At 38.8% G+C, this 26713-nt stretch overlaps 1 long non-coding RNA gene and 1 other non-coding gene across 3 annotated transcripts in view; one reads left to right on the plus strand and one right to left on the minus strand.

Annotated features, from left to right (window-relative positions):
• The window catches only part of ZNF133-AS1 (ZNF133 antisense RNA 1), a 47923-nt gene extending 21227 nt beyond the window's left edge, over positions 1 to 26696 (minus strand). Inside the window, exons 1-3 of one of the 2 annotated variants that reach the window (NR_187570.1) lie at positions 26578 to 26696; positions 14898 to 14955; positions 12903 to 12959 (exon numbers count right to left, since the gene is read on the minus strand). This is a non-coding gene — a long non-coding RNA (ZNF133 antisense RNA 1). The remainder of the gene's footprint in view (positions 1 to 12902; positions 12960 to 14897; positions 14956 to 26577) is intronic. The other variant, NR_187569.1, reaches the window with a different exon arrangement.
• On the plus strand, positions 14311 to 14410 carry LOC124904978 (small nucleolar RNA U13). The gene has a single exon (XR_007067769.1). It is a non-coding gene; the product is annotated as a small nucleolar RNA U13 (small nucleolar RNA).
• Positions 26697 to 26713: the final 17 nt, after the last annotated feature.

Below are 26713 nucleotides of genomic sequence, written 5' to 3' on the forward strand. Positions count from 1 at the left end.
AGAGTGCTACAAATTTAAGATGACAATTGTAATTCCCAGAGTAACAATGAAGAAAATAACTAAAAAGATAATGAGAAAAAGAAAAGAGAAGAAATCAAATTGATACAATTTTTTTTTTTTTGAGACAGAGTCTCACTCTTGCCCAGGCTGGAGTGCAGTAGCCACAATCTCAGCTCACTGCAAACTCCACCTCCCAGGTTCAAGTGATTCTCCTGCTTCAGCCTCCCAAGAAGCTGGGATTATAGGCATGTGCCACCATGCTTGGATAATTTTTATACAAAATGATACACTTAAAAACATCAATTAAACACAAAAGGGAGAGACGGAGGGTGGAGCCAAGATGGCCGAATAGGAACAGCTCCAGTCTACAGCTCCCAGCATGAGCGACGCAGAAGACGGATGATTTCTGCATTTCCCTTTGAGGTACTGGGCTCATCTCACTAGGGAGTGCCCGACAGTGGGTGCAGGACAGTGGGTGCAGCGCGCTGTGTGCCAGCCGAAGCAGGGTGAGGCACTGCCTCACTCAGGAAGCGCAAGGGGTCAGGGAGTTCCCTTTCCTAGTCAAAGAAAGGGGTGACAGACAGCACCTGGAAAATCGGGTCATTCCCACCCTAAAACTGTGCTTTTCCAATGGGCTTTAAAAATGGCGCACCAGGAGATTATATCCCACACCTGGCTCGGAGGGTCCTACGTCCACGGAGTCTCTCTGATTGCTAGCACAGCAGTCTGAGATCAAACTGCAAGGTGGCAGCGAGGCTGGGGGAGAGGCGTCTGCCATTGCCCAGGCTTGATTAGGCAAACAAAGCAGCCGGGAAGCTCAAACTGGGTGGAGCCCACCACAGCTCAAGGAGGCCTGCCTGCCTCTGTAGGTTCCACCTCTGGGGGTAGGGCACAGACAAACAAAAAGACAGCAGTAACCTCTGCAGACTTAAATGTCCCTGTCTGACAGCTTTGAAGAGAGTAGTGGTTCTCCCAACATGCAGCTGGAGATCTGAGAACTGGCAGACTGCCTCCTCAAGCAGGTCCTTGACCCCCGAGCAGCATAACTGGGAGGCACCTCCCAGTAGGGGCAGACTGACACCTCACATGGCCGGTTACTCCTCTGAGACAAAACTTCCAGAGGAACAATCAGGCAGCAGCATTTGCAGTTCACCAAGATCCGCTGTTCTACAGCCACCGCTGTTCCACAGCCACCGCTGCTGATATCCAGGCAAACAGGGTCTGGAGTGGACCTCTAGCAAACTCCAACAGACCTGCAGCTGAGGGTCCTTCCTGTCTGTTAGAAGGAAAACTAACAAACAGAAAGGACATCCACACCAAAAACCCTTCTGTACGTCACCATCATCAAAGACCAAAAGTAGATAAAGCCACAAAGATGGGGGAAAAACAGAGCAGAAAAACTGGAAACTCTAAAAAGCAGAGCACCTCTCCTCCTCCAAAGGAACGCAGCTCCTCACCAGCAATGGAACAAAGCTGGACAGAGAATGACTTTGACGAGCTGAGAGAAGAAGGCTTCAGATGATCAAACTACTCCGAGCTACAGGAGGAAATTCAAACCAATGGCAAAGAAGTTAAAAACTTTGAAAAAAAATTAGATGAATGGATAACTAGAATAACCAACGCAGAGAAGTCCTTAAAGGAGCTGATGGAGCTGAAAACCAAGGCTTGAGAAATACGTGAAGAATGCAGAAGCCTCAGGAGCTGAGGCGATCAACTGGAAGAAAGGGTATCAGTGATGGAAGACAAAATGAATGAAATGAAGTGAGAAGGGAAGATTAGAGAAAAAAGAATAAAAAGAAATGAAAAAAGCCTTGAAGAAATATGGGACTATGTGAAAAGACCAAATCTAAGTCTGATTGGTGTACCTGAAAGTGATGGGGAGAATGGAACCAAGTTGGAAAACACTCTGCAGGATATTATCCAGGAGAACTTCCCCAATCTAGCAAGGCAGGCCAACATTCACATTCAGGAAATACAGAGAATGCCACAAAGATACTCCTCAAGAAGAGCAACTCCAAGACACATAATTGTCAGATTCATCAACGTTGAAATGAAGGAAAAAATGTTAAGGGCAGCCAGAGAGAAAGGTTGGGTTACCCACAAAGGGAAGCCCATCAGACTAACAGCAGATCTCTCGGCAGAAACTCTACAAGCCAGAAGAGAGTGGGGGCCAATATTCAACATTCTTAAAGAAAAGAATTTTCAACCCAGAATTTCATATCCAGCCAAACTAAGCTTCATAAGTGAAGGAGAAATAAAATACTTTACAGACAAGCAAATGCTGAGAGATTTTGTCACCACCAGGCCTGTCCTAAAAGAGCTCCTGAAGGAAGCACTAAACATGGAAAGGAACAACTGGTACCAGCCACTGCAAAAACATGCCAAAATGTAAAGACCATCAAGTCTAGGAAGAAAACTGCATCAACTAACGAGCAAAATAACCAGCTAACATCATAATGACAGGATCAAATACACACATAACAATATAAACTTTAAATGTAAATGGGCTAAATACTCGAATTAAAAGACACAGACTGGCAAATCGGATAAAGAGTCAAGACCCATCAGTGTGCTATATTCAGGAAACCCATCTCACGTGCAGAGACACACATAGGCTCAAAATAAAGGGATGGAGGAAGATCTACCAAGCAAATGGAAAACAAAAAAAGGCAGAGGTTGCAATACTAGTCTCTGATAAAACAGACTTTAAACTAACAAAGATCAAAAGAGACAAAGAAGGCCATTACATAATGGTAAAGGGATCAATTCAACAAGAAGAGCTAACTATCCTAAATATATATGCACCCGATACAGGAGCACCCAGATTCATAAAGCAAGTCCTTAGTGACCTACAAAGAGACTTAGGCTCCCACACAATAATAATGGGAGACTTTAACACCCCACTGTCAACATTAGAGAGATCAACGAGACAGAAAGTTAACAAGGATACCCAGGAATTGAACTCAGCTCTGCAGCAAGCGGACCTAATAGACATCTACAGAACTCTCCACCCCAAATCAACAGAATATACATTTTTTTCAGCACCACACCACAGCTATTCCAAAATTGACCACATAGTTGGAAGTAAAGCACTCCTCAGCAAATGTAAAAGAACAGAAATTACAACAAACTGTCTCTCCAACCACAGTGCAATTAAACTAGAACTCAGGACTAAGAAACTCACTCAAAACCACTCAACTACATGGAAACTGAACAACCTGCTCCTGAATGACTACTGGGTACATAATGAAATGAAGGCAGAAATAAAGATGTCCTTTGAAACCAATGAGAACAAAGACACAACATACCAGAATCTCTGGGACACATTCAAAGCAGCGTGTAGAGGCAAATTTATAGCACTAAATGCCCACAAGAGAAAGCAGGAAAGATCCAAAATCGACACCCTAACGTCAAAATTAAAAGAACTAGAAAAGCAAGAGGAAACACATTCAAAAGCTAGCAGAAGGCAAGAAATACCTAAAATCAGAGCAGAACTGAAGGAAATAGAGACACAAAAAACCCTTCAAAAAATTAATGAATCCAGGAGCTGGTTTTTTGAAAAGATCAACAAAATCGATAGACCGCTAGCAAGACTAATAAAGAAGAAAAGAGAGAAGAATCAAATAGATGCAATAAAAAATGATGAAGGGGATATCACCACCAATCCCACAGAAATACAAACTACCATCAGAGAATACTACAAACACCTCTACGCAAATAAACTAGAAAATCTAGAAGAAATGGATAAATTCCTCGACACATACACTCTCCCAAGACTAAACCAGGAAGAAGTTGAATCTCTGAATAGACCAATAACAGGAGCTGAAATTGTGGGAATAATCAATAGCTTACCAACCAAAAAAAATCCAGGACCAGATGGATTCACAGCCGAATTCTACGAGAGGTACAAGGAGGAGCTGGTACCATTCCTTCTGAAACTATTCCAATCAATAGAAAAAGAGGGAATCCTCCCTAACTCATTTTATGAGGCCAGCATCATCCTGATACCAAAGCCTGGCAGAGACACAACCAAAAAAGAGAATTTTAGACCAATAGCCTTGATGAACATTGATGCAAAAATCCTCAATAAAATACGGGCAAACTGAATCCAGCAGCACATCAAAAAGCTTATCCACCATGATCAAGTGGGCTTCATCCCTGGGATGCAAGGCTGGTTCAACATACTCAAATCAATAAATGTAATCCAGCATATAAACAGAACCAAAGACAAAAACCACATGATTATCTCAATAGATGCAGAACAGGCCTTTGACAAAATTCAACAACCCTTCATGCTAAAAACTCTCAATAAATTAGGGATTGATGGGACATATCTCAAAATAATAAGAGCTATCTATGACAGACCCACAGCCAATATCATACTGAATGGGCAAAAACTGGAAGCATTCCCTTTGAAAACTGGCACAAGACAGGGATGCCCTCTCTCACCACTCCTATTCAACACAGTGTTGGAAGTGCTGGCCAGGGCAATTAGGCAGGAGAAGGAAATAAAGGGTATACAATTAGGAAAAGAGGAAGTCAAATTGTCCCTGTTTGCAGAAGACATGATTGTATATCTAGAAAACCCCATCGTCTTAGCCCAAAATTTCCTTAAGCTGATAAGCAACTTCAGCAAAGTCTCAGGATACAAAATCAATGTACAAAAATCACAAGCATTCTTATACACCAATAACAGACAAACAAAGAGCCAAATCATGAGTGAACTCCCATTCACAATTGCTTCAAAGAGAATAAAATACCTAGGTATCCAACTTACAAGGGATGTGAAGGTCCTCTTCAAGGAGAACTACAAACCACTGCTCAATGAAGTAAAAGAGGATACAAACAAATGGAAGAACATTCCATGCTCATGGGTAGGAAGAATCAATATCGTGAAAATGGCCATACTGCCCAAGGTAATTTATAGATTCAACACCATCCCCATCAAGCTACCAATGACTTTCTTCACAGAATTGGAAAAAACTACTTTAAAGTTCATATGGAACCAAAAAAGAGCCCACATCGCCAAGTCAATCCTAAGCCAAAAGAACAAAGCTGGAGGCATCACGCTACCTGACTTCAAACTATACTACAAGGCTACAGTAACCAAAACAGCATGGTACTGGTACCGAAACAGAGATATAGATCAATGGAACAGAACAGAGCCCTCAGAAGTAATGCCATGTATCTACAACCATCTGATCTTTGACAAACCTGAGAAAAACAAGCAATGGGGAAAGGATTCCCTATTTAATAAATGGTTCTGGGAAAACTGGCTGGCCATATGTAGAAAGCTGAAACTGGATCCCTTCCTTACACCCTATACAAAAATTAATTCAAGATGGATTAAAGACTTACATGTTAGACCAAAAACCATAAAAACCCTAGAAGAAAACCTAGGCAATACCATTCAGGACAGAGGCATGGGCAACGACTTCATGTCTAAAACACCAAAAGCAATGGCAACAAAAGCCAAAATTGACAAATGGGATCTAATTAAACTAAAGAGCTTCTGCACAGCAAAAGAAACTACCATCAGAGTAAACAGGCAACCTACAGAATGGGAGAAAATTTTTGCAACCTACTCACCTGACAAAGGGCTAATATCCAGAATCTACAATGAACTCAAACAAATTTACAAGAAAAAAACAAAAAAACCCCATCAAAAAGTGGGCAAAGGATGTGAACAGACACTTCTCAAAAGAAGACATTTATGCAGCCAAAAAACACATGAAAAAATGCTCATCATCACTGGCCATCAGAGAAATGCAAATCAAAACCACAATGAGACACCATCTCACACCAGTTAGAATGGCGATCATTAAAAAGTCAGGAAACCACAGGTGCTGGAGAGGATGTGGAGAAATAGGAACACTTTTACACTGTTGGTGGGACTGTAAACTAGTTCAACCATTGTGGAAGTCAGTGTGGCGATTCCTCAGGGATCTAGAACTAGAAATACCAGTTGACCCAGCCATCCCATTACTGGGTATATACCCAAAGGATTATAAATCATGCTGCTATAAAGACACATGCACACGTATGTTTATTGCGGCACTATTCACAATAGCAAAGACTTGGAACCAACCCAAATGTCCAACAACGACAGACTGGATTAAGAAAATGTGGCACATATACACCATGGAATACTATGCAGCCATAGAAATGAAGAGTTCATGTCCTTTGTAGGGACATGGATGAAACTGGAAACCATCATTCTCAGCAAACTATCGCAAGGACAAAAAACCAAACACCGCATGTTCTCACTCATAGGTGGGAATTGAACAGTGAGATCACATGGACACAGGAAGGGGAACATCACACTCCGGAGACTGTTGTGGGGTGGGGGGAGGGGGGAGGGATAGCATTAGGAGATATACCTAATGCTAATGACGAGTTGATGGGTGCAACACACCAACATGGCACATGTATACATATGTAAGAAACCTGCACATTGTGCACATGTACCCTAAAACTTAAAGTATAATAATAATAAATAAATACATAAATAAATAAAAAACACAAAAGAAGGCAGTATTGCAGGAATTGAAAAATGAAAAATATATAATCCATATAGAAAACAAATCCCAAAATGGCAGAAGTAAATGCTTCCTCATCAGTAATTATTTTAAGTGTAAATGTATTAAATTATTTAATTAAAAGGGAGAAATCACTAAAATGAATTTTTAAAATATGAACCAACTGTGTACTATCTACAAGAGACTCACTTTAGATCCAAAGGCATAAGAGGTAGACAATGAATAGACAGGAAACATATATTACATGGAAATAGTAACCAAGACAGAGCTGGAGTGACTGTCCTAATATCTGACAAAGTAGATTTAAGTCAAAAATTGTTACAAGGGACGAAGAATGATATTATACGTTTATGTTATGTTATATGTTATGAAAAAGTCAATCCATCAAGAAGTTAGAAAAATTATAAACATAGATGTGTAACAGTGTGAGCCCCATAATATATATGAAACAAAAATTAACAAAATTAAAAACAGAAACAGGCCATTTTATAATAATAGTTGAAGACTTCAGTACCCCATTTTCACTAATGGATTATTGAGCTATAGAGCAACTAGATAGAAGATTAATAAGGAAACAGAGGACTTAAGTATCACTGTAAACCAACTAGACCTAATAGACATATGTAGAACACTTCACCCAACAACAGCAGATTACACATGCTTCTCAAGAGCACATGAAATATTCTTCAAATATTCTTAGGCTGCAAAATTATCTTCAGTAGGTATAAAAAGGCTGAAATAACACAAAGCATCTTGTCCGGCCACAATGAAACGAAAGCAGAAGTCAATAACAGAAGGAAAACTGGAAATTTCACGAATATGTGGAAATTAACACATTCATAAGCAACCAGTGGATAAAAGAAGAAAACAGAAGGGAAATTTAAAAATGCTTTGACTGGAGTCACTGCTGCTAAGGTCCCTACCACAGATGCAAGAAAAAAGCTTTATGCTTTCTGTCTGATTATGACAGCTAAGATTGAATGCAGCAATATAGAAACTACATAAACATGGAGGGGGCAGATAATTTTTGCAACTCAGAAATAACCTTATAAACAGCAAATAACTGGTTTTACTCAAAAAAGAAAAAGGAATCTCAAATTTGAGTTTATGTTAGAAGTGGAAAATTGTTTCCCTCATGTCCTTGCCTTCTGGTTGATTCTACTTTAGAAGCATAAATATCAAAACTATTTTAGATTAAAAGCAAATTAATGATTTTATTTTTTTTCTTTTGGAAACAGGGTCTCACTCTATTGCCCAGGCTGGAGTGCAGTGGCACAATCTCAGCTCACTGCAACATCCACTTCCCAGGTTCAAGCCATTCTCATTCATACATCAGCCTCACGAGTAGCTGGAATTACAGGCATGGGCCACCACATCTGGCTAATTTTTGTAGTTTTAGTAGAGATGGGGTTTCACCACGTTAGCCAGGCTTGTCTTAAACTCCTGGTCTCAAGTGATCTGCCTGCCTTGGCTTCCCAAAATGCTGGGATTACAGGCGTGAGCCACCACGCCTGGCTACAAATGAATGATTCTTTAATAAAAATAAAAATAAACAATAAATGCTTTGAGATGAATGAAACAAAAACACAATATACCAAAACTTATGGGATGCAGCAAAAACAATGCTCAAAAAATTTATAGCTATAAATGCCTACAAGAAAAAGAAGGAGTTCAAATTAATAATTTAACCTTTGATCCTGGGAAACTAGAAAAGGAAAAAGCAGACTCAATTTAGAGCAAGATCAGAGTGGAAATTATAGAAATATACAATAGAAAACAATAGAAAAGTCAATAAAACCAAAAGTTCCTTCTTTGCAAAAATCAACAAAGTTGACAAATCTTCAGCTCAATTGACCAAGATTAAAAAGAAAGGAGATGAAAATCAGAATTTTTTTCTTTCTTTTTTTTTGAGACAGAGTGTCACTCTGTCACCCAGGCTGGAGTGTAGTGGTGCAATCTTGGCTCACTGCAACCTCCTTCTCCTGGGTTCAAGCGATTCTCCTGCCTCAGCCTCCGAAGTAGCTGAGATTACAGGCACCCACGACACGCCCAGCTTATTTTTGTATTTTTTTTTAGTAGAAATGGGGTTTCACCATGTTGGCCAGGGTGGTCTCGAACTCCTGACCTGAGGTGATCCTTCTGCCTCGGCCTCCCATAGTGCTGGGATTACAGGCATGAGCCACTGTGCTGGGCCAGAAAATCAGAAATTAAAGTGGGGCCACTACTGCAGACCTTACAGAAATAAAGATTATAAGAGCATATTATGAATAATTGTATGTCAGGAAATTAGATAACATAGATGACATGTACAAATTGCTAGACACGTACAAACTAACAAAACTTAATCAGGAGTAAATAGAAAATCTGAACAGAGCTATAACTAGCAAGGAGATTGAGTCGGTAATGAAAAATCTCCTAATAAAGAAAACCTCAAAACCACATGGCTTCAATGGTGAATTCTACCAAACATTTAAAGAAAAATTAACAGCAATCCTCCTTAAACTCTTCCAAAAGGTAGAAAAGGAGGGAACAATACCTAACTCATTCTATGAGGCCAGTAATTACCCTGAGAGCAAACTTTGGCAAACATATCACAAGGAAGGAAAAATAGAGGCCAATATCCCTTATGGATATAGATGAAAAAATCCTCAATAAAATACTAGTAAACCAAACCCAGGAGTACATTAAAAGGATTATACAGCACAGCCAAGTGAGTTCCTGATTCAGCATAAGAAAATTAATGTAGTACACCACATTATTAGAATGAAGAGAACAAACTACATTCCATTTATATGAAATATTCAGAATAGAATAATCCACAGAGACAAGATTAGTGGTTGCCAGGGGCCAGGAGGAAAGGCGAAATAGGGAGTGACTGCTTAATGGGCATAGGGTCACTTTTTGGGGTGCAAAAATGTTCTAGATCTGGATAGCAATGATGGCTGCAGAACATTGTGATTGTCACTGCCATGTACACTTTAAAGTATATAAGCCACTGACTTGTATACTTTCAAATGATAAATTCTATATGAATTTTACCTCAATTAAAAAAAATGTAGCCATCTAAATCTTATAAACAGGGCGATCGAATAACAGAACCAAAACAAAACAATCTAGAGCTGTGCATTTACTTTTTTTTTGGTGCCACAAAAGTATTTGAGGTCTAAAATTATCAATGTAAAATAAAACTTACACACATTTGGTAAATCCTAAAATGTTAGCAATGGCCTTTCAATTGTTTTCAACAGAGAAAAAGATAATACACAAGCCAGGCGCAGTGGCTCACTCCTGTAATCCCAGCACTCTGGGAAGCTGAGGCAGGAGGATCCCTTGAGACCTAGAGTTGAAGACTAGCCTGGGTAACAAAGAGAGACCCCATCTTTTTTTTTTTTTTAGATGGAGTCTTGCTCTGTCACGAAGCTGGAGTACAGTGGCATGATCTCAACTCACTGCAACCTCCACCTACCGGGTTCAAGCAACTCTCCTTTCTCAGCCTCCCGAGTAGCTGGGACTATGGGCGCCTGCCACCACACCCAGCTAATGTTTGTATTTTTAGTAGAGACAGGGTTTCACCATGTTGGCCAGGTTAGTCTCAAACAGGTGATCTACCTGCCTTGGCCTCCCAAAGTACCTGCATTACAGGTGTAAGCCACCACGCTTGGCAGTGTCTAGATATTTTAACAGTATGTGGTAAAGCTCCCTGTATTTAAGTTAGTGTAAATATCAAGGCTCTCCTGCCTTCTGTACTCAAGAAAATTTATAAGTCCACATTTCTGCTTCAGATTTTCTAAAACAAATGGTTTCTGCCATATTCACTGAGAAAACTAATAAATTGGAAATCAGTATCAGTAAGAAAAAAATCTATCCATACACAAATTTTTAAATTTATTTTTTATTTGTATAAATGTATGGGGTACAAGTATAATTTGGTTATAGATAAATTGTATAGAGCAGTCAGTGTTTTTAGTGTATCCATCACTGGAGTAATGTACATTGTACCATTAAGTGCTTTCTCATTGTCCTCAGCCAACCCTCTTCTCACCACCCCACCAACCTAAGTCTCCATTGTCTATCATTCCACACTCTACTTCCATGTGTACACATTATTCAACACCCACTTAGAAGTGAGAACATGTGGTATTTGTCTTTCTGTGTCTGAATTCTTTCACTTAAGAAAATAGCCTCCAGGCCAGGCGTGGTGGCTCACGCCTGTAATCCCAACACTTTGGGAGGCCCAGGCGGGCGGATCACGAGGTCAGCAGATCAAGACCATCCTGGCTAACATGGTGAAACCCCGTCTCTACCAAAAATACCAAAAAAATTAGCCAGGCGTGTTGGCGGGAGCCTCTAGTCCCAGCTACTCCGGGGGCTGAGCCAGGAGAATGGCGTGAACCCGGGAGGCGGGGCTTGCAGTGAGCCGAGATCGCGCCCCTGCACTCCAGCCTGGGCGGCAGAGCGAGACTCCGTCTCAAAAAAAAAAAAAAAGAAAAGAAAAGAAAATAGCCTCCAGTTTCATCTATGTTGCTGCAAAAGACATGATTTCATTCTTTTTTATGGCTGAAGAGTATTCATATATATATACCACATATTCTTATCCAATCATGGGTTGATGGAAACTTAGGTTGATTCCATATCTTTGCTATTGTGAATAGTGCTGTAATAAACATCTATGTGCAGGTATCTTTTTGATTTAATTATTTTTCCTTTGAGTAGATACCCAGCTGGATCATATGGTAGCTCTATTTTTATTTATTTTTTCTTTTTTGAGAGATGGAGTCTCGCTCTGTTGCCTAGGCTGGAGTAGAGTGGTGCGATCTCGGCTCACTGCAGCCTCCACCTCCCGGGTTCAAGCTATTCTCCTGCCTCTGTTTCCCAAGTAGCTGGGACTACAGGCCTGCGCCACCATGCCCAGCTAATTTTTGTATTTTTTTAGTAGAGACGAGGTTTCACTATACGTTGGCCAGGCTGGTCTCCAATTCCTGACCTCAGGTGATCCGCCTGCCTCAGCCTCCCAAAGTGCTGGGATTATGGGCCTGAGCCACTGTGCCTGGCCTGTTTGCCATCTTTTGAAAAGTGTCTATAGATACCCTTAGCCCAGTTTTTGATGAGATTATTTTTGCTGTTGTTAGTAGTCTGAGTTCCTTATAAATTCTGGATATTCATCCCCTGTTGGATATATAGTTTGGATATTCATCCCCTGTTGTATATATAATTTGCACATATTTTCTCCCATTCTGCAGGTTGTCATTTTATTCTGTTGATTTTTTTTTTTTTTTTTTTTTTTTTTTTGGTGTGCAGAAGCTTTTTAGTTTAATTAAGTTCCATTTGTCTATTTTTGTTTTTGTTGCCTGCACACAAATTTAATAATTTCTCATGATCTCTTGGGTTAATAATGTCACATCTGAAATTAGATTTCAAAATTAAAGATATTGGTAACACTATAAATTGAAAATACTTCTTAGCCAAGTGTCCTCAAAAAATAATTCTTAGCCTTAAATGGGAACAAGAAAGGCTAAAATTTTAAAAGTATGTGTGCAAATCAAGAACCTAGAAAAAAATCAGCCAAATAAACCTAAGAAAAAAGACAAAGTATTACACAAATTGGTATAATAAAAATGTAGGCCTTATCAGTAATATCCACAATATTGCTGAGGCAGACAATCATTTGTAGTTCAGATTAAGTTAAAAGTCATTAATTTCAGGAAAAATAAATATTACACTGCAAAAGATTTAAAAAACATATGTTCCATGTTTACAAAATTGTATATACATACACAAACACAAATACACAAATATTTCTAGATTTGAAAATCTAGATAAAATAGATGTTTAGGAAAATATAGCTGATCAAAATTTAAACAAAGCAAGTTAAAAAATAAAAAGAAACCAAAATCACAACAATTGAAAAGTTAGACAAAAAATTATCTCAAAGACACCATATTTGAGGTGTTATTAAAATTTTTACCAAAATTAATTTGCTCTATAATCCCAATGTTTAATCAATGGGTCCAGAAATAGATGAAAAGGTGGAAAGTTAGCAAAGCATTTGTTTAGTTAAAAACAACAAGAACAACTAAAACAACTAAACAACTAAATCCTACTTATTAGCATAACGATAAATATACTAAAATAGCAGAGAAACAAATCCTGCAATGTAAAAAGACTGACACAGCCAATTAGGGTTTACCAAGAAGTTTAAGGACAGTTCAACATTAGAAAAACCTATCACTGTAGTTTCCTAAAGGAATTGACTTTTAAAAAGAAAATAACATTTTAATAGATAGTGTAAAATTATCCCTTACAAAATAATGCCACACCTGAGCAGAGAAATTTTAGAAATACTGGAAGAGAGAAGATATTTACCTGATTAATGAAATCAACCAAAATCCTGGAATAAACATTTTGTTGGATAGTGAAATGCTAGAATAAATGAGAAAATTAAAAATTCTTCAGAAGATGTCCACTATTATGGTCCCAACTCAGTCCATTAGAACAAAGAAATAAGGTTTACAATTATGTTATAATGAAGTTATATAAAGTTATAAATAAAACAAAACCCTCAGCAATTGCAAATGTTATCTTCCAAAATATGCGATGAAAGAAACTGAAAACCTAAGTGAAAGATGCCAATCTGAAAAGGGTGCATACATTATGATTCCAACTATACAGCATTCTGGGAAAGGCAAAACTGTAGAGACAATAAATGATCAGTGGTTGCCAGAGACTCAGGAGGAGGAAGGGAAGGATGAATAGGAGGAGCATATGGGATTTTCAAGGCAGCAAAACTCTTCTGGATGGTACTGCAATGGCAGGTACGTGACATTACGTGTTTGTCAAAACCCGTGGATCGTTCCCTGGCGTGATGGCTCACTCCTGTAATCCCAGCATTTTGGGAGGCCAAGGGGTGGTATTGATTGAGCCTGGGAGTTTGAGACCAGCATGGGCAACCCAACTCTATAAAAAAATACAAAAATTAGCCAGGTGTGGTGGTGCATGCCTGGAGTCCCAACTACTCAGGAGGCTGAGGCGGGAGGACCCCTTGAGCCTGGAAGGCTGAGGCTGCAGTGAGCTGTAATTGCATCCCTTCACTCCAGCCTGGGTGACAAAGTGAGACTGTCTCAAAAACAAAACAAACAAAAAACAGAACTTTACAACACAAAGAAAGAACACTAATGTAAACTATGAACTTTAGTTAATAAGGTTTCAATAGTGGTTCATCAATTGTAACAAATGTTCCACATTAATATAAAATGTTAATAAAAGGAGAAACTGTACTGAAGGAAGAAGGGGTTATGGGAATTCCTTTTTTGCCCAAATTTTCTGTAAATTGAAAAACTGCTCTAAAAATAGTCATTTTTAAAAAGAGAGTTTTGGTAAGAAAACCATATAAGAAAGAAAACATTCTTACATATCTGCAAATGCCAGTGACACAACATCATTAAAAATACGTCATTTAGACATCAGGAAACACTTTAAGTAGCTAGCAAGTAACCTATGAAAAAATATCTAGGATTTACAAGAAGAAAATTATAAAACTTTACTGAGAATATTTCTAAAAGCACATATAATTTAAAAAATGCAAACATGATTTCTATAAAAGATTCAACACTTTAAAGATGTTAATTCCTCCTTTTTCTTACATGCATATTGATCTATAAATGCAATAACTTTTTTCCACTTGAGATTTTTAGTGGATTTGGATACTAAAGTTCATTTACAAGATAAAATTTCTGAGAAGAGCAAATAAAATTTTGTTAAAGAACAATGGGAGATCCTTTTGTAGTTCGCGTGACGATGGGGTGTTCACACGCATGTGTGAGATGTGCCACCCTTGAACCTTGTTATGATGTCGTCACATTACCCATCCAACATGAACTTGAAAAAAAAAAGGGACATAAAAAGAAAAAAGAATAGGAGACTTCCTTTAAAAGATTTCAGAGTTGTACTGTAAGCCATAATAATTAAGATAGACTCCTATACATATGGGCCTTCAGTTAATGACAAATACTGCATTTCAAAGAGAGCGAAAATGAAAGACTTTTAAAGTGTTGTTACAAGCTATATTTATCCTTTGCAAAAGGTAAGTTAGGTTGCCCACTTTATAGTACTCCCTAACTTAAATTCTGGAAGGGTAGGTTCTTAGCAGCTACTAAAGGTAGTAAGTAGATTTCTGCTAAAGGGAAGTCTGAGAGGTCAATGAGATATGCCTCTAGAAGTGTACCCTGGAAGGACAAGCCCTGAACTTTACAGGAAGGAGGCCAGGACACACGATGCCAGAACCCTTGCCCCAAGTTACTGTCAGGAACCCCGAGTGAACCCTTGTCACTGCTACTGAATCACAGCTGAAAAAACTCCTACCTCCTTCTCCAGAGGAAACCTTCACACTGAGGTGTTTGTGCTCTTGCATCCAAGGAGCCTGGAACACAGAATACATGTACCTCATGGAAGAACATTCTGGAACACTATGAGTAAGGCAGTAAGGAGACACCTGTGAGCTGCTCTGGAGACTAAGCACCATGAATATGATTCCTAAGAGACAATCTCACTTACGAATGATCTATATTAACTCAAGTTAATAACTAATGTTCAAGTTAATAACTAAAAGTTAATATTCTGGACTGGCACCCTTGAAGATTTATTTCTACCCAATATTCCTGAGTTTTTAATTTATATCATTGTATATAAATGATATACAATAATTATAGGCATTTTCAATAAAACTTTTCCGAGAAAATTAAATGAAATTGCCCCAGACAGTTCTTTCTGTAAATGCAGCATAGCATGAAGTTTCTTTGCTCTTTTTTTGAATTCCCCCAAACATTTAAGACTCCAGTTTCCATACAAGTTTGTGAACTCCATGTGTTCTGTAGGACTTGTTGAAATAAAGATATAATAAATCATGTAGAGAAAATAGCTGAAAAAAAGTAAAAATAGGAGAACATGATTAATATTAGTCTTATTAGAATAAAAATTGTATTCAGTCCTCAATCAGAATTGAGGCCGCCTCTTGCCACTTCCCTGCTGCAGGTTTGTCTCGAAGGGTAATGGAAACCATGCAGTGCTATGCTGCTGACTTGTACAAGATAATAGTGACATTACATTCAGCTAGAGCGCCAAGTGACAAGACAGATGGTGAGAGATCTTACCAGCCATGTTAGTTTTCTTTTTAACTAATAGGCATTGGGAAACCACTTAAAGCTTCAAATAGACACATTTTAGAGAGGTCACTCTGGAGCTATGGAAAAATGGATTTACTGGAATAAAGCCAGAGGATGGGAAGTTATTTGAATGGCTATTCTAATAATATAATTGTAGGAAAATATGAGAACCAAAATATTCTGGAACTAATTATTAATTAAAATCTGATAACGAAGGATGTCCTGGAAGTGTCATGATTATGACAGCTATTTGTTCTGTTTCTTAAAATGTTAAGAGATTAAGACACCTACAGCTCCAAAGGAACACTTGCTTATGCTACCTTCACCTGCTGCTCACTGGAATATCATCTGCTTTCTATGAGATTACTATTACAGAGCTTTCTATAAGACTGCTATTAGATAATGATAATTGCTATTATCTAACAGTATATGTTGGTGTCTCCTAGTAAATTTCCTGGCAAGAGACCCAAGCAGTGAGATGTCAACAGCAGTGGATGCTTCTAGGGGATAGAATGAGCCATCTTTGATGAATACAAATTGCATGCTTCAAAGAGTATGGACACTTTTTGGATATGTGTGGGTAAGTTCTGAACACTGAGGTTGAAAAAAGAAAACAAGTACCAATCTATGAAGAGTATTACATATCAGAATAAGAAATTTGAACTTTATTCTGTGGATAAAGGGTATTTCTAGGATAAGATGGCAGAATTTACACATCCTCTTTCTCTACATCTAATAAAATTAAGCAAAATTGAAAAAATATATATATTTATCAGTATCATTTAAACATCTTAGTTAAAATATGTACATAATGGTCACAGAGGGACAGAAGATTCCAGGAATTTTTTGGCTCCTACTTCCAAGGCCATTTCCACCCTATGTGAGCACTATGAGGAAAATATTGTGAATGGACAAAATTCTTAAGTATGCCATCAAACTTGGAAGGAAATAACTGAAGGGACAATGAGGCATCCCAGAGGAATGATATGGAATCACTTTCAATAGTGATGTGTGATGGTTGTCACAGCCCACCCACTTACACCGGCCTCACAGTCAGCCCTCCTACTTGGGGAAGAGGGTTTTTGGGAAATAGGTCTACACCAGTGATTCTCAACCAGGGGCAATTTCAGCCTTTAGTGGACTTTTGGCAAAGTATGGAGACATTTTTGTCAAAACTTCGGGAGGGTAAGGGGTTTCTATTGTCATGGTAGAGACCCAGGATGCTGCTAAACGCCCTACAATGCACAATACAAGGCCCCTCAAGTGAAGAATTTGTGGGCCCAAAATGTCAATAGAGCTGAGGTTGGGATAAGCCTTGTCTAAATGATGGCAGAGAAAACAAATAGCATTTATTTATACTAATCAATTAACAATCTTTTTCTTTAAAAATAAATAAAAGTCCACCAAAAAGTTTTCCAGGTCACTGAATACATATGAAAACACTGGCAAAAATAACAATGATGAATAAAGTGAATAGGTAACCCTTGAGGAATCAGGTAATTGTTTCCCTGGTCTTGAGTGACTGTGTCCACAATTCATTTTTTCTGGTAGGTATAACTCCTTTTCTGCATCCATGCTTCACAGATTCTCTCCTTTTCAGACATCCTGGGATGAAAGGATTTGACTTCTATTTTTTTCATTTTAATTTTAATTTATTATTTATTTATTTATTTATTTATTTATTTATTTTGAGACGGAGTCTTACTCTGTTACCCAGGCTGGAGTGCAATGGCACGATCTCGGCTCACTGCCACCTCTGCCTCCTGGGTTCAAGCAATTCTCCTGCCTCAGCCTCCCAAATAGCCAGGATTACAGGTGCCTGCCACCACACCCAGCTAATTTTTGTATTTTTAGTAGAGCCTGACCATGTTGGCCAGGCTGGTCTTGAACTCCTCACCTCAGGTGATCCACCCCCTTGGCCTCCCACAGTGCTTGGATTACAGATGTGAGCCACTGCTCCCGGCCCTTTTTTTTAGACTGTATTTTTCGACATCTGTTTTCTCTCTTCTTAGGCTATTAAATATAAGCTATCAAATAATGTGGATAGTTAATGCTCTTATCTCTCTCAAATCCTTCTTTCTAATAACTGAGAGCAAAGGGACTGTATTGACTGTGTTGAATCTCTTCATGCACCAGTAACTCAGCTATGAAGGGGGTCTTCTTTAAACGGCTGGTCTGACTTTCATAGATTGACACTGCTCCTTTCTTTTATTGTGAAAAAATTAAACTCCTAAAAAGTCTTTTGGGAACTCTCAAAGTCTTTTGGGACTTCTCAAAAAACATAAGAAGTATTCACCTACATAAATGTTGAAAGATTATATCTTTTTTTTTTTTTTTTTGAGACAGAGTTTTGCTCTTGTTGCCCAGGCTGGAGTACAATGGCGTGATCTCGGCTCACTGCAACCTCCGCCTTATAGGTTCAAGCGATTCTCCTGCCTCAGCCTCCTTAGTAGCTGGGATTACAGGTGCCCACCACCATGCCCAGCTAATTTTTTGTATTTTTAGTACAGACAAGGTTTCACTACGTTGGCCAGGCTGGTCTTGAGCTCCTGACCTCAGGCGATCCACCCGCCTCGGCCTCCCAAAGAGCTGGGATTACAGGCGTGAGCCGCTGCGCCCGGCCAGATTATGTCTTATGAATAAAAGTGATAAGACCATATGGAATTACTGGACTAGTAGCATAGTTAAGCATTTTGTTTAAGACAACAAAGCGCATTTTGAAAATGCTGCTATCTCTCAATGCTGATAGTGCTTTTCTCCTGTGAGTGACCCAAGAATATTATAAATAGTTAGTAAAGGGAATGGAGACTTTGAGGTTGAACAAATGTTGCACTAGCTGTTTCTCGACTGAGTGTAACAGCTTCATGATTAAGGGAAAACAAAATTATTTTCTATTCCAAAGATTCATTCTATGAGGTGGCCATAAAGTCTAGAATTAGATACTAATGTTTTGTCATTCATTGTAATGCAATATTAGTAAACCATTTAAAAGATTTGCCTGGTTTCCTGACTTGGTGGCCACCTTGAATAATTCTTGCTGTCTTCTGGGAAGAACAATGGAATTTATTCCTGCCTTAAAAATCATACATCATGACTATCCTCAGAGAATGTCCTTTTCTATTTCTAGGAGTGACTTCTAATCTTCCACACTGGTGAGAAAAAGAAAGCCTATTTCATCCCGTTAGCGATGCTGAAACCCATGATTTACTTTCTGAAGATGTCCCAGCGAGTCCCCCGTCAATTCACTGCCACATATATCCTGTTCCATAACGAGTGTGTCTTCCTTATAAATACTGCCCAGACTCTTGCCGGTTCCTCTCCCTTTGTCCTTTCATGTGAGTGTTCTTCGGCTACCTTAGTGGAAATATAGATCTGTCTCCTCCTTATCCTCTCAATTACAACAAAATAAGATTGTTTACTTTTTACGTTTACGGGATGAAAGTGCCCCGTTCAGGTCAATGAAACATCAGTGCATTGCATTGACTCTGAACACTTCAGAATTTAGAGCTGCCATTGAATGCCAGCTGATGGAGATAGAGTGCATATCAGACAGGTAGATAAAGTTCAGGTTTCCTGGGGAACCAGGTATAGAGAAAAACAAGTCTGATATGAGGAAAATCGCACAATTTAGAGTAGTATTGCCATGTAAGTGATTTCTGCAAACTAGGAAAAGTAGAGCTGAAGTTATTATGTGGATAAGTCAAAAGAGGAAAGTGTGTACTTTTTCAGAAGCAGAAAAATATTCAAACTTCTTTCTTCTTTTTGGGTTTAGCAGACGCTCCAATGTGATCTTTGCCTTTGGAGTTTGGGTGAGGTATAAGAAATGGGCTGATCCCTGATTCCATACTTTATTCCCCCTCCATCCTTTCCTTCCAGATAGACAATTCTACCCATCAGTGAATCACTCAATAAGTCTCAACAGCATTTGCTTTTGCTGAGATTGCTCAGCAGTTGAGGGTCCTTTGCTAGGTGAGACCAATAGGAGACAAACACCTTTTCCATGGTCTTTTATTTTTTTTTTTTTAGACAGAGTCTTGCTCTGTCATCCAGACTGGAGTGCAGTTGCACGATCTCGGCTCACTGCAAGCTCCACCTCCCAGGTTCAAGCAATTCTCCTGCCTCAGCCTCCCAAGTAGTTGGGATTACAGGCGTGCACCACCACACCCTGCTAACTTTTGTATTTTTAGTAGAGATGGGGTTTTGCCATGTTGGCCAAGCTGGTCTTGAACTCCTGACCTCAGGTGATCCACCTGCCTAGGCCTCCCAAAGTTCTGGGATTACAGGTGTGAGCCACCACGCCTGGCCCTTTTCCATGGTCTTTGAAAGATGATGCTTATTTCATGGTCAGTGGCTTAAAAAATCCCCGTCCTGGTTTTCTTCAACAAACTCTCTAGTTTTCCCTTTTTACAAAAAAGATTTTGTAAAAATTAGTAATCTTAAAAATATTCTGACAAAAAGTAAAATTAAAGGGACATCTTTTCTTGGTTTTCCTTCTACGGCCCCATGTGCAGTACTTTCACCTTTAAGCAAAGAGAGTGGTTTCGATAGTCTCTAAGATTTCGACCTGATCTCACATTCTGCCATTCTACCCAGCTCTTAATTCAGTTTGCTTCCATTATCCTAACAGGCTTCCACTTATTTAGAACCTGGAAATGCTGCTATTTAACACCCTGCAACACTGACGCAAACTTATGATAGGTACCAATTACTGAAGGCCAAATGAGTAAAATGTGTAGTTTTAGGACCTTTAAAAACATCTCATTTAATCTTCCTAGCATTCTATGAGAGAGGCATGATTCCACACTTATAAACAAAGAAGGAAAGGTTGGGGATGTGAAGCATCTTGGCCAGGCTTCTGCTGCCAGTGAACAGTGGAGCTGGGACTCCAGCCCAGGCTTTCCCAACTCAGAAGACTGAACATCCAGGAGGATGTTAACTACTTGTGTCCTGTCCCAAACAACCCGGAGTTCTCAGTCGGCTTGGTTCTGCTTGTGACCTCACATCAAGAATAGCAGAGATCACCAAAGTGATGTTCACCTCAGTGTGACACTGTTGTTGTTGTTGTTTCCTTGGCTTAAGCAAAGGAAGCACTAGTGGAGAGTCTCAGCCCTTAATCCTCCTCCCTAAGTCCCCATTTATAATAGAAATAAAAGGCTGTAAAGTCAGCTGGGCTTGGGTCCAGGCTCATCTGTGGAGGAGGCAAGCTCATGTTCCTCGCCTTCCCTTTCAATGTCCATTGTGTTGTGTCTCTGCCACACAATGCCATTACCCTTGCCATTATCTGTATACCTAAATTTGATCATTTTGTGTGTGTGTGTGTGTGTGTGTGTGTGTGTGTGTGTTTTGAAAAAGATTTAGTAAAACATTTCCCAACAAGTGAAAGTTCTTGGCTGGGCGTGGTGGCTCACGCCTGTAATCCCAGCACTTTGGGAGGCTGAGGCGGGCAGATCACCTGAGGTCGGGAGTTCAAGACCAGCCTGACCAACATGGAGAAATCCCATCTCTACTAAAAATACAAAATCAGCTGGGCGTGGTGGTGCATGCCTGTAATCCCATCTACTCGGGGGGCTGAGACAGGAGAATCGCTTGAACCCAGGAGGCAGAGGTTGCGGTGAGCCAAGATCGTGCCATTGCACTCCAGCCTGGGCAACAAGAGCAAAACTGCATCTCAAAAAAAAAAAAAAAAAAAGTGAAAGTTCTTATATGGCATAGATATGAATTCCTTCCTCTGGTAATAATTAGGTTATTCCAGGAAGCACAATGTCATTCTTTAAATAAAAGATTTCCTGTTTAAAACTTTTCAAAGGAGCAGACCATGTTGGAGATTCTCCTTAGGTTTGGTTGGTGTATAATTCATTTTATTAAGCCATTCTTCATTTTAAGGCTTTGCTATAAAGTTAAAAGTGTACCAAATAAAAATAAACTATTTTGTATTTAGAGAAGAGTAAAGGGAAGAAAAATGAATACTCAGTCTTTATGTAAACTCCAAGGATAGTAGGGCTTAGAGGGCTTTTCTAGTTTTATGAGAATTTGTACTACTGATTTTTGTATATTCCTGTTTTTGAGATAAATGGATCTCTGGGGAAATTGTTGAGTTACAATGGCATTTCACTGTGATCCCTGTCAAGCTCAGATCAGCTCTATAACTCAATGATGACCTGTCTCTTTGATTACTGTCCTGTAAAATGTCAGCTAAAGTTTCCCAGAGGTCATGCATGTACCATAAGGCAGAGTACTTTTCCTCAGTGCAACAGTTGCTGGCTCTCTTCATTTCGGTATATGTGCTTTAATGCAAAGTATCTAAACCTGCAGTGTGATCTGTATATGTTATCCTATTAATTGTATTATTGATCATTTTGATTATCTTGCTTGAAGATTTATTCATACTTTTTGATTTGGTAGAAACAAATTTTTTTTCTGCTTATAAAAAGGATCTAAAAGACAGGATGAGAATGATGTCCCACCAAATAGAAAATATCAATGAGATAAAAACTATTAATTGGAACCCCAAATAAATTATTTGGTTAAGAATTACAATAACTGAAATTAAACATGTACTAGAGGTGTTAATTAGTAGATTTGAGCAGGCAGAAGAACTGATGGGCATGAATACAGATTCAGACTACATAGTATGAGAAACAACAACAAAAAGAATGAAGAAAAGTGAAGAGAGCCTAAGAAACACCACCAGGTGGACCAACATGCATTATAGGAGTCCTAGAGAAGGAGTAATAGAGGAATAGAAGGAAAAGTTGAAAAAGTAATGGCCAAAAATTTCCCAAATTTGATGAAATGCATGAATCTATATATTCAAGAAGCTCAAAATACTCCAAGTAGGATAAATTCAAAGAGATCAACATGTAGACACATAATAAACTGTCAAAAGATAAAAGACTATGAGAGAATCTTGAAATCAGAGAGAAAAGCAAATCATCATATACAAGGGATCTGTAATAAGAAAAACAATGGATTTCTCATCAGAAACAATGGAAGTCAGAAGGCAATGAGTTGACATATTCAAAGTGCTGAAAGAAAAGAAAATGTCAATCAAGAATTATGTATCCAACAAAATTATCCTTTTAAAATGAAGGAGAAAGTAAGATATTTCCACATAAACAAAAAATAAGTTTATTGCTAATAGACTGACTCTACAAGAAACAAAAAGAGAATTAAGTGATACATTAGGAAAAGTCTAACATAAAAGGCAGTAATTGAGAAATAGAGGAACATGGAAAATTCAGAAAACAAATATTAAAATGGCAGACATAGATCCTACCTTATCAATAACTAGATTAAATGTAAATAGATTACTCTCCAATTAAATTTTAGAGATTGGCAGAATGTATAGAAACTATGATATAACTATCACAGTATCCAAAAGAAAGATAGAGTGGCTATTCCAATATCAGAAAAAAAATGGACTAAGTTAAAAAAAAAAAGGTCATTAGAGACAAAGAAGGACATTTTGTAACAATAAAACGGCCAATTATTCAGGAAGATATATCAATTGTAAACATGTATGCACCTAACAATAGAGTCTCAAAATACATGAAGCAAAAACTGATAGAATTAAAGGGAGAACTAACTCAACAATAATCATCAGAGACTTCAATATTCCACTTTTAATAGTGGATAAAACAATTAGTAGATCATCAAGGAAATAGGAAACTGAATAACACTATAAAACCCTAAAGAATTTCAAGCAGGGTCTCACATAGATATTTGTACACCCATGTTCATAGCAGCATCATTCACAATAGCTAAAACATGAAAGCAACCCAAGTGTCCATTGCCAGAAAAAATTGACAAGCAAAATGCAGTATATACATATAATGGGATATTATTCAGCTTAAAAGAAGTAAATTCTGATATATGATACAATGTGGATTAAACTTGAGGACATTATGCTAAGTGAAAAAAGCCAGGTGAAAGGAGGGAAAGGGTCAGAAAAAAATAACTATTGAATACCAGGCTTAGTACCTGGGTGACAAAATAATCTGTATGACAAACCCTCATGACACGAGTTTACCTATATAACAAACCTGCACATGTACCCCTGAACCTAAAATAAAAGTAAAAACAAAAAGAAATTGAAATTACCCTTTTCTATCAAAGTCTTTGTTCTTTATGTAAAATATTATATTTGGGAGGTATATATGTATCATAATTCTATTTTTCAAATAAGAATTAAACAACAATAATATATACATATACACATATGTTTATATATACATACATATATTACATATGTATGTGAGATGAGGGTTATATTTAAAAAGTTAATCAATCACAAAAGACAAATACTGTATGATTTCACTTATATAAAGTATTTAGAGTAGTCAAAATTATAGAAAGTAGAATGGTGGTTGCTGGAGGCTGGGAGAATGGGAGTTAATGTTTGATGGGTACATAGTTTCAGTTTTACAAGATGAAAAAGTTCTAGAGATTGATGGTAGTAATGGTTGCACAACTTTATAAATGTATTTAATACCACTAACATGTACACTTAAAATGGTTAAGGTGGTAGCTTTTATGTTGTATGTATTTTACTACAATTTTACAAATTGGAAAAAAGAAGAAATGGAAAATATGAACAGACCTATAACAAGAGATTGATTAGTGATTTTTTTAAAAGTTTAGTATGGATATAAGGGCTTCAGAGGCATAGAGGGGAACACCAAGACACTCTGGGCCACCTCAAAGCATGTGGACAGGACAACAGTAAGGAAGTTGGCTTCACCCTAACGGAAATAAGGTAAATTCCTTTACCCATTCCATAGCAAGGCATGGGGAAATAATAACCTGCCCACCTGCTCCATATCGTCCTTCTTAGAACAAAGCCTGAGAAATAACTCCCAAGTCCCCTTAGCCAAAGCAGTGTCACTGAGAATGGGGTGATATAGTTTGAATGTTTGTCCTCTCCAAATCTTACGCTGAAATGTGATTCCCAATGTTAAAGGTGGGGCCTGGTGGGAAGTGTTTGCATCATGGGGGTGGATCTCTCATGAATGGCTTGGTGCTGTCCTCATGAGGGTGAGTGAGTTCTCAGAGATCTGGTTGTTTAAATTGTGTGGCACCTCCCCACTCTCTCTTACTCCTGCTCTTGCCATAGGATATACCAGCTCCCCATTTGCCTTCTGCCATGAGTAAAAGTTTCCTGAGGCCTCACCAGAGGCAGAGCAGATGCCTTTGCCATGCTTCCTGCACAGCTTGCAGAACTGTGAGCCAATTAAACCTCCTTCCTTACAAATCACCCAGCCTCAGGTGTTTCTTTTTAGCAACAAAGAACAGCCTAACCCAAGGAGTAAGTGCCTGTACTTAACAATCTCCTGTTCGCTAGCCATCGACTTACTAATAATACTGATTATGCACAAAGGCCCACCAGCCACTGAGCAAAATCAGTCATATTACATATAACAGACATATTGGTGAGCACATCACATCTGGCAGCCACATACGCATATATTTAATTATGTCCATGTGGTTTAAGAAAATTAAAAACTTTCCAATTGTTACCTTTGGTGAGTGGATGGGGGAGATTAGTGAGAGTTCCAGGCATAAAACTATGCACCATACACTTTTATATATTTCATTACTGTGGATCTTTATATTGTGTGAAAATAGAAATGAAGATAACAAATAGGATAATTTACATATCTTTTCTGTTAAATCTAGCAAGTTTATATCCATATGAACTGAGAGTGCCAGTTCAAATTCATACTCCCTAAATAAACCAGAGGTCTCTCCATGAAACATTGATATGAAGTCTTTACTGAAAAAGAGATATGGACACATTAAGGCAATTAGTCCCTTTATTAAGGTAAATAGCAATGTTCTTTTCTTAAAAAAGAAAGATGGAGAGGAAAAGAGGGTGAGGGAGGGGTATAGGAGAGGAAAAGGAGGTGATGGCTGGGGGAGGAAGAGGGAGGGAAGGTTAGGACATGGAGACTGGAGACCAGAGGATGAACAGGAGGATGAAGGTAGTCTAGAGGAAAGAGGTTGGGTAGGAGATTGCGAAGGGAAATTTAGGGCACATGGGGGCAAAGCAGAGTCTGAAATATTTAGTGAACTCCATGGAGATGTTTATTAGGCCCTAGCCAAAACATGTCAGTCTGGGTGTGTATCCTAATAAAAAGCTTGATAAATTTATGTATGTTTTAAGAAATGTGTTCAATTCTAGGCTTCCTTTGTCTTTAGATGCTCAGGGTATTTCAGAGCTGTCCCTGAAGAAACACACAGTCTGCCCAGCCATGGGTAATGACAGTCCTGTGCCACCCCCAAGTTACCATCTCTCACTACCAGCAAATTCCCTGTTCCCAATTCACCAAGAAACAGTCTTCAACCTAGGAGGAAAGAAGGAAGAGGAAAGAAGCATGGGGCACAGGTGGAGGGAGAGAGCACATGGTCCCTCCTTCCTCTCCTTGGGATGCTGCTCCGTGGCCCCAGCACCGCTCCCGAGAGATCTGTTCTTTCCTGGGACAAAACAACCATCAGTTTCTGGGGTTGAGTTCTTTCCTGGAAAGGCAGAAGACTGTCTGTTCTTTGTCTAAGGAAAGCCTGAAAACATCTGTATGCTTTTGTCTATCACTTCAGGACTAAATGAAGACGGATGAGCAGAGAAAGGATGGCTCGTCCATGTCTTTTATGTAAAGGAAACCTTCAGGAAGTTGTTATGAATGTTTCTGAGGTGCTGGTGTGTTGGAGAGAACCAAAAAAGTCTTCAATTTTGTAGTTGGCCAAGGAATAGCAAAATCCCGGTTCTGAGGCATTTAAAAATAGACAATGGAAAAAAGCAACTGGGGTGAGTTCCTGGGACTCCCTGCAGTGGTAAATTGGAGAAAGATGAGACAAGGATGCATTCCAGCAAGGGAGAGACTTACCTTTGTGTCACCATGAGCCCAACTCCTGACGCTGGGGCCCAGGCTGCCAGTTAGGGACGTCACCATTACTGGACCACAGAGGAAGCCCTACCATCCCCAGGAGAAGTCAGTTTCACACTGGAGCATTTGTGCTCCT

The sequence above is a fragment of the Homo sapiens genome, chromosome 20 (assembly GCF_000001405.40).
Source record: "Homo sapiens chromosome 20, GRCh38.p14 Primary Assembly".
Taxonomy (NCBI): domain Eukaryota; kingdom Metazoa; phylum Chordata; class Mammalia; order Primates; family Hominidae; genus Homo; species Homo sapiens.